This window comes from Homo sapiens, chromosome 4, assembly GCF_000001405.40.
Source record: "Homo sapiens chromosome 4, GRCh38.p14 Primary Assembly".
Lineage (NCBI taxonomy): Eukaryota > Metazoa > Chordata > Mammalia > Primates > Hominidae > Homo > Homo sapiens.
Window position 1 is genome coordinate 70,381,458 of NC_000004.12, and position 8,787 is coordinate 70,390,244.

The 8,787-nt window shown below is 36.6% G+C and overlaps 1 protein-coding gene across 1 annotated transcript; it reads left to right on the top strand.

The window, feature by feature from the left end:
* Nucleotides 1-1,673: 1,673 nt before the first annotated feature.
* SMR3B (submaxillary gland androgen regulated protein 3B) lies at nucleotides 1,674-8,787 on the top strand. Its single transcript, NM_006685.4, has 3 exons — nucleotides 1,674-1,755; nucleotides 3,040-3,107; nucleotides 8,206-8,787. The coding sequence occupies exons 2-3, from the start codon at nucleotides 3,054-3,056 to the stop codon at nucleotides 8,389-8,391; spliced, it is 240 nt and encodes a 79-aa protein (NP_006676.1). The 5' UTR covers nucleotides 1,674-1,755; nucleotides 3,040-3,053; the 3' UTR covers nucleotides 8,392-8,787.

Genomic DNA, 8,787 nt, shown 5'->3' on the forward strand with positions numbered 1-8,787 from the left:
GAGGGGAGGGAGGGGAGGGGAGGGGAGAAAGGAAGGTTGGTTGTAAACTTCATGACCTAAAAATTATAAATATACACATTTTTCAAATGAAGAAATTGAAACACAATGAGATAAAATAGCTTGTCTCATATAACCCAGCAAAGAATTGTTGGTATTTGGCTTTGAAGTAGAATTACCTGACTATTAAGTTCACTTGATTCATCTCTACAGTGTACTGTAACATAAAGTTAGTTAAGTGTATGGTGATTATTAAGATTTGGGGAGCAACATGGAATGCTGGTTAAAAACTCACTCAGGCCCCTGTAGGGAGACTTAGGTCTTCACTCAGTGGGAAGACTTAGGTCAAGCCCCACTTAGCTAGTTAGCATCTATGTCATCTATGTGTACAACAGAGATAACAATAGAACTCATTTTATCCTGCCACGTGGAATATGCTAAAGGTTTAATAAGTAATAGCTGTTATTATTAAATAATAATGTGTCAAAACTACAGATTATAGGATCATCTAGCTTAGGAAAAATTATGCTCAAAGCCTAGATTTATCAAAAAAACAAGGCTGTAATTTTCCATTAGACATCCACTTCAAAGTCAAGATATCCGTATAATTTTGCCATAATCAAAAATTTTGCTTGTCATTATATTTTTATTTAATTAAATGTCTCAAGTTAATAATGGCAAGGACCACATGATTTTTAAAACACAGTTGTTCTCATTTAGTTCTTCACTGGCAAAAGGAACTTCCTAAAAAATGCATATATAAGGTCTTGTAAATAGTCTACTAACTTAAGATAATCACAAAGAAATGAAATATAGTTAAGACTGAGAAACTGCATGAACCTTCTGACTATTATCCCTCTTCCACCACTAGATTTTTCTTTCCTGCTTTTTTGAAACTTAGATCCAAATCTTAATAGCAGCACTCATTTTCATCATCCTTCAGAAACATCTACTCAATGAAGACAACTGTGAAAAACCATACATAGGATAAGATATATACAAACTTTCAAGCACAAAACAATAATACAATTTCATTATTTCAACCAAAAAATAGAAACATGAAACCCACAACATATAGCAAAGTGATCAAAACAGTCAAGTGAAATTTTAGATATTCTTTACATTACTGGCCATGCATCGTACCTGCGTGCATGTGTGTGTGTGTGGTATTTAGCAATATTTATTTAATTAGGCACTTTTAATTTTAATTATCATTTTTGTTCCCCTAGGTTCTCCTGATCATGTTAGAATTCAGTTTAAAAATATTTGTATTTCGCACATATGGAGGCCTTTGAAATAAAATAGAAAATATGATGAGACTAGCAAATAACAAAAGATGGCCCATTAAATCACTTGGAACAGAAAAAACTCGTGCCAGCTTTTCCTTTGAAATAAAGAGGAAATGGTGCACCACAGGCCCCAGATTGTTTTTCTGAGGTGATAGGATATTATGATTTGTTGTATCTGTTTCCTCAGGAAACAGCAAATGTTGAACAGGTCAATGCTTTTCAGGAATGAAAAAAAATCCAGAAAAAGACTGCCAAATTGGCAAGAACAACTTTCCTATCTTTGAAGAGCATCAACTCGGAAGTTATTTTATTTCCGAATAGCCTTTCTCTTATTGCCAACAGAAATCCATTACAATATATAAGAGCTAAGATTTCTTGTCCCTTTTCACCTTTATTTGCCGTCTTTCAACTGGCAAGAGTCATTTTGACCAGCAGATTAATCAACTGTAAGACAGATCCTCACACAAAGGTAGGTACTTGGAAATATAAACTGAATATTTTTACTTTGAATATTGAAATTTTTCTCAAAGATAACATTTTCAACGATAACATTTTATGGGCTTTTCATAGAACATTCATTATCAGCAAAAACATAAGTAGCTTACATGAAATTGTAAGTCATTAAATGCAATAAATTTTGAAAAATTCTGGTTTTTACAGGTCAGAGTAAAACATTCATGTTGGGCATTTGGGCCAATCGGTCCATCCAAGTACACAATTGACTTTTCCTCCTGATGTACCTTAAAGTTCTTGAAACTTCATAAGGATAGAATAGTCTCAGGTGTACTCTAAAAGACAGAATTGCTCTACAGAATATTTTTATTATTGGTTTTTCTTTTGTTTTTCAAACTTAATTTAAGAATGGATATAGGAAAAGTACTAGTTAAAGGAATAGCCACACCCACATATATATAATTGAATATCCAGTGAAATTTTGTCCATAGGATTCTTTCAAGACTTGCATTGCTCAGACCACACACTCAACCTATGTGCAGAGTTGACTAACAGGAAGCCAATTTGCACCATGGTGTATGGAGTTGCTTTCCCAAAAATCAAGCTATCATGTACTTGAAATATATTGTAAAATTTGACCCAATTGAGAGTAGAATACCTGGACATCTCCATGTTCTTGCCTTGGTCTCTGATATATGGATTTTTGGAAGCACTTTGAGACCACTCATCACAGCCTAAATTAATGTAATAGAATGTTGTTAAAACTAGGAAATATATTATGTGACTCTTCTTTTAGACTATATCCAACAGGGTGATTCCTTTTTTTTTTCCTTATTTTTAAGCTCTTCCAAGCAATAAAATTTGTAACATAAGATCTAGTTAAAATGTTAATATCTCAAACCCATCCATAGAAATCTATAATGTATCTACTATTTTTAAAATATCAAAATGTTCAAATGAAAATAAGTATACATTTTAAAGTAGTTACTTCTAAGGGAAAAACCTTAGTCATAAAAGCTTCTATTGCTCAGAGCAATGTATGAACAACTCTTTGGCATTATCCCCAGGATCAGTTTACAAGTCAAAAATAAAAACTACTTCCACTATTTTGAAGTCAAATTTTATAAGCCTACTAATATTGCCCCACAGTAATACTGAATTCAAAATAACATTAGGCAAATTCCCTAAAAATGCTATAGTAGGATATTTGTATTACATTATATCCAAGTGTTGAGACATTTTAAATAGTACTTTTTAATAAAAAACAATCATACTGATCACCTATTGTGCTTACTTTCAGAGGCAACTGAAAGGATGAAATCACTGACTTGGATCTTGGGCCTTTGGGCTCTTGCAGCGTGTTTCACAGTAAGTATCATTAATCACGATCACACTTCTTTATAGTTTCTCATTAACCATTACTTCAGATTTCTTTTTACATTAATGATGTTACCTTTTCTTATATATTAGTAACTATTAATCATCAATGAAACACTGTTTAGGGCTTAAATTTAAATTTAAAATCTAATTTAAATAACCACACATGTCTGATGGCTGCCATACTGGACAGCTCAAGTCTGTGGTATCAGACTGCATTAAACAGATACGTATAAATGTTAAGTTCCCATACTCTAGTCAGTTACACAGTAGGTAAAACTCTATAAAAATAGATAATCAAAATAAAACCGTTTTCCCAGCATGTAGTTTATGGATCATTTACACCAGAGTCACCTAACTCACTTATTAAAAATATAGTAAAGACCTCATCCAAGCTTCAATAAGAGTATCAGATAATGGGACCTGGAAAGATGCATTTTACTAAGGATCTACAAGTATCTTTGCATGCTAAATTTTGGGAGAATGCTAAGCATTTATATATAAACAGCTACTTTGTATACAAAACCAGGTTAAAGACAAATGAGATACTAAATATCATACAAAATTACAAAAATGTTTTTAAAACACACGTATTTCAAAGTAGTAGAATCATACTCGATTTCAAAGTAGTGTTAGATTAATTCCAGTGACAGAAAGAGAATATTAATTCCAGAGTAATTTCCACCAAAGTACTATAAAATCTATATCAAATTGAAAAATATGAAAGCTGTTTTTTTTAGATTATGACTTCCACAAATCAAGCAACATAAATTTACATCATTCTGAAACATGAAACATAAAATAATTCCTTTTTCATCTACTTTGTTTTTTTTTTTTTTTTTTTTTTTGAAACAGACTCTCGCTCTGTCGCCCAGGCTGGAGTACAGTGGCGCGATCTCGGCTCACTGCAAGCTCCGCCTCCCGGGTTCGCGCCATTCTCCTGCCTCAGCCTCCGGTGTAGCTGGGACTACAGGCGCCCGCCACCACGGCCGGCTAATTTTTTTGTATTTTTAGTAGAGACGGGGTTTCACCGTGTTAGCCAGGATGGTCTCGATCTCCTGACCTCGTGATCCGCCAGCCTCGGCCTCCCAAAGTGCTGGGATTACAGGCGTGAGCCACCGTGCCCGGCCTCATCTACTTTCAAAAAGGAACAAAATCAGGAAATTCTAAGGTTACTGAGGTAGTCTGACCTTGGCTAAATTACTGAGAGCATTATATGTTGACATAATTTTTAATAAACCAATAAAATATATTGATATATTTTAAAGGTAATATCTTAATGGCTTGATTATAAAGCTTATTTTCAATATTTTTATTCCCTCAGAATACAAAAGAAAAACATTTATAATTTCAAAGTATCAGGCTTTTATTATATAAATTTTTTTTTATAAGATTAATTTGAAAAAGATAACTTTCTGGGCCAGGCACGGTGGCTCACGCCTGCAATCCCAGAACTTTGGGAGGCTGAGGCAGGTGGTAACTTGAGGTTAGGGGTTCAAGGCCAGCTTGGCCAACATGGTGAAACGCTGTCTCTACCAAAATTACAAAAATTAGCTAGGCATGATGGCATGCACCTGTAATTCCAGCTACTCCAGAGGCTGAGGCAGGAGAATCGCTTGAACCCGGGAGGTGGACATTGCAGCGAGCCAAGATTGTGCCACTGCACTCCAGCCTGGGTGACAGAGTGAGACTCTATCTCAAAAAAAAAAAAAAAGAAAAAAGAAAAAGATAGTTTTCTGATAACATAAGCAGTTTAAATGGAAATCAACCTTTCCCCAACTTAATTATATGAGATTCATGATGATTAATAATTATTGAATGTTGGAAATATGAAGGGTAGCATGTCCTTTACGTGTGTGTGTATATGTACACACACACACACACAAATAAAGCAAGTCTAACTACTATTAGTCCCATTAAAATACAAATAAATTTAGGTTCAAAGTATCCGTGTCTTAGATGGACTGTTCCTAAATAAAGTAATGTAGGAGATTAGTGCCAATTATAGTCCTTCGAGAGCGTAGTGTTTCTTCTTAAAATAGTATTTTCATCATTTTTCTGAGTTCGTTACCTTTAGCCAGTTGCGGAAAGGGAGCTAATCAATGTGATTGGGTATACTTACTATGAAGATTTTTCATTACTTAATATTAAGATCAACATCAGGATATCTTTAGGAGGCGAGGGCACTTTCAGCTAATTTTTTAATTGTTTCAACAATAAAAGTGAATGGAGTATTTTCCCACACTAAGGATTTGTTTTCTTGACAATTAAAAATCAAGTCCTGAACTTCCATACATCCTGACTAGTCTTTGGCTTGGCAGCACTTGGGTCAAATGCCCTCCATAATACCACAGAATGTCATTAGCTAGAGAAGACAAACATGAGGCCAGTTCTACAGAAGTGCCTTGGTATTTTTCATTTGTTGTATTAGTGATCCTAATAAAACTTTTACTGGCATGTTAAAGGCAGAAGCCAGGTTGAAGAGCAAATGGGAAATGAGAAGTGGAGTTGGCAAATCTAGAATACCCTTTCAAAGTTTCAAAGTTTCGCTTTGAAGGAAAGAGGTGACAAGAAAATCAACAACAAGGGTACCGGTGGTTGAAACTGAACCTTTTATAAGCAGGGAAATAATATAACTTGATACTTCTTTTGCAAATGATCTATTTAAACTTTCTGTATATTTTAGGTGAAAGTGTAAGAGTAGAATCAAGCAGTCAAATCAAGGTGTCATTACAGTAATTTGGGTAAAAACAAATGACTTAGGTTAAAGTGGAAGTAAGAGATATGATAAGAAGTGGTTAGACTTAGAATTCAGGAAGGGAGATGCAAAGCCAATAGGATTGTGGGGGAGAAGGGTGAGTGGAACATAAATGATAGTTGTTTTCTGAAGAAAATGATCCAGTTTATAATTCCTGCCATTTAACTGGCTCATTTTCCTCAGAAAACAAATTCCAATATTATAGTTACAGGAAGTAAAGGGAAGACTGACAGAGCCAAGTCCCTGAGAAGACACTTGTAAAGAAACAGAAAATTCCTAGCTATCAATGACTCCATGGTTGTGTGGCCAGTAAATCAGGGAAGTTCATTTCTAATTGCCTGAAATATCTTGGTGAAGCAGGAGAAAAGCCAGTTTGGTGGGGGTAAATGATAGCTCAGGATGAGGTGGAGAATGTTGATAAAACTGGCATCAACTTGGAAAATTACAGGCCTCTGGGGAAGTGGGAAGAGATAATCTAAGATAAGACACTCAAAAAAGGATTTCAGGCAGCACTGAAGGACGCTAACTTTCTGATGGTACAGTGCTTGTGACATCCTCTACCATTGTTAAGAACCTGGAATTAGGAATCCAGGACAGAGATGCTTTGCCGTAATACTAAAGTTTAGATTTAACAAGGGTAATACCAGACAAATAGGTGAAGGGACTGAGAACCACAAGAAGTGAATGTAGTTTTGTGTCCTGTGTAAACCATCTGCTCCAAGCAACCTGGACTTCTTGTCATCAGTAGAGTGGAACTTCATTCTTACCCCAGAGCATTTGTGTATTTTCATTCTGTTTGGCATGTTCTCTCCTTATTTTATATTCTTTAAGCCTCTTTTCAAATGACTTCTTCTCACTAGAACAATCCTTCATCATTTTCCTATCCAGAACTGATCGCTTTAACTCCTTAATGTATTTGTTCCTTGCACTACTTTTCAGCTATTTTTTTTTTATTTTTTAAAATAGAGACAGAATTTTGCTACATTGTCCAAGTTGGCCTTGAACTGCTGGCCTCAAGCAATCCACCTGCCTCAGCCTCCCAAAGTGCTGGGATTACAGGCATGAGCCACCATGCCCAGCCTCAGCTATTTTTATTTCTAAAAATTGTGCTCTATGTAAACCATACTTGAGCCAATCATCACTCTAAGCATTTTACAGGTAATATTTCACAACAAAAATCTGACAATAACAACAGGAGGTGGGTCCTTTTATTAACGTCATTTTTCTGATGAGAAAAAAGAGACTCAAACAGGATTCCACACTCACCCAACCTCTACGTGCCAGAAGCAGAACTCAAACCCTCACATGAAATCCCAGAGACTCATTCCACTCATTTCATTTCCCTTTAGATCATATTTATCCTGCCTTGTATTGTAACTCCTTGGCCTGTAGATTCATAGAAGATCTGTTTGTAACCCTGGATCCCCACCACAGCTCCTACATTAGCTCATTGCACAAAGTAGGTGCTCATGACGTCTCTCACAATTTATTAGTGTTCAAAGTCTGAACAGCCCTGAACTCTTGAATTAGACATAATAAGACATTTTTCTCATCCTGGAAGGGCATTTATTTCCACTTACAATTGACTTAAATGACAGATTCGACTATAGGCAAAGGATAAGATTTTTGCTCATTATATATATTTTTTTAGTCAATACTATCCCTGCTTTCATTGAGAGCCTACGTATTCAGAAAGCAAAAGAGAAACTTTTTTTCTTTGATAATAGACTTTCAGACTATGTGACTTAGATACAATGTAATGGTTTTCTATTGCTGCATAACAAACTACCACCAATTAGTAGCATTAAAAACTCATTATTATCTCAGTTTCTTTGGCCACAACTCTAAACTTGGCTTAGTTGGCTTCTCTGCTCAGTCTCACAAGGCTGAAAAGGTGTGCCCACTGCTGTATTTCTTTTTCTGCAGCTCAGTGTCCTTTTTTAAGCTTGTATGGTTGTTGGCAGGATTCAGTCCCTTGGTTATTGGACTGAAGCCCCTACTTCCCTGCTGCTTACGAGCCAGGGGCCACTCTCGGCTGCTATAGCCAGTCTACCATGTACCTCCACATGGCCCTCCCCACAACATGGCATCTTGATTCAAAGCCCAGAGAAAAACATTTACTGCAGCTTCAAATCTCTCTGATTTCTTCTGTCTCTGACATTGTAGAACCTTTTTTAAAAGGGCTCACCTGATAAGGTCAGGCCAGCATGTGCCAGCAGGGAGTAGAAATCTTGGGGCCATCTCAGAGTTCTGCTTACCACAGAAAGCATTCACCCTTATATTTAACTGTGAAATATCTGATTTGAAATTATTTACTTCTTATTTCCACAGCCTGGTGAGAGTCAAAGAGGCCCCAGGGGACCATATCCACCTGGACCGCTGGCTCCTCCTCAACCTTTTGGCCCAGGATTTGTTCCACCACCTCCTCCTCCACCCTATGGTCCAGGGAGAATCCCACCTCCTCCTCCCGCACCCTATGGTCCAGGGATATTTCCACCACCCCCTCCTCAACCCTAAGGTCCACCACTCCATCCTGATGCCCCAGGTTATCCACAGCCTCCTTCCCGACCAAGACCCTATCCACCTGGACCTCCATTTTTCCCTGTAAATTCTCCAACTGATCCTACCCTCCCTACTCCTGCACCCCAAATATGAACAACTGCAGCAGGTGCCACCACCACCACAAAAGACACCACTACCCTTGTAACTACTGCTTCTACTACCCAAAATATGAATTCCAACACTGCTTCCAAGAGACATTTACATAAAATTGCTTCCATTTTTGGATGAGAATGAAAAATTCCAAAAGTGCTGAGCTTTGGGGAGAAATAATCTTAGAAAGAAATTGTAGAAAAAACCCATGCAGACATAACATTTATACCAATGAGGCAAAAATAAAGAATTGAGCACCAA

Excerpts from the sequence above, each read along its gene's own strand:
- SMR3B (NM_006685.4), top strand. The coding sequence starts at position 3,054 with ATGAAATCACTGACTTGGATCTTGGGCCTTTGGGCTCTTGCAGCGTGT. Across the intron at positions 3,108-8,205 it reads CTCTTGCAGCGTGTTTCACA|CCTGGTGAGAGTCAAAGAGG; the intron begins GTAAGTATCATT and ends TTATTTCCACAG.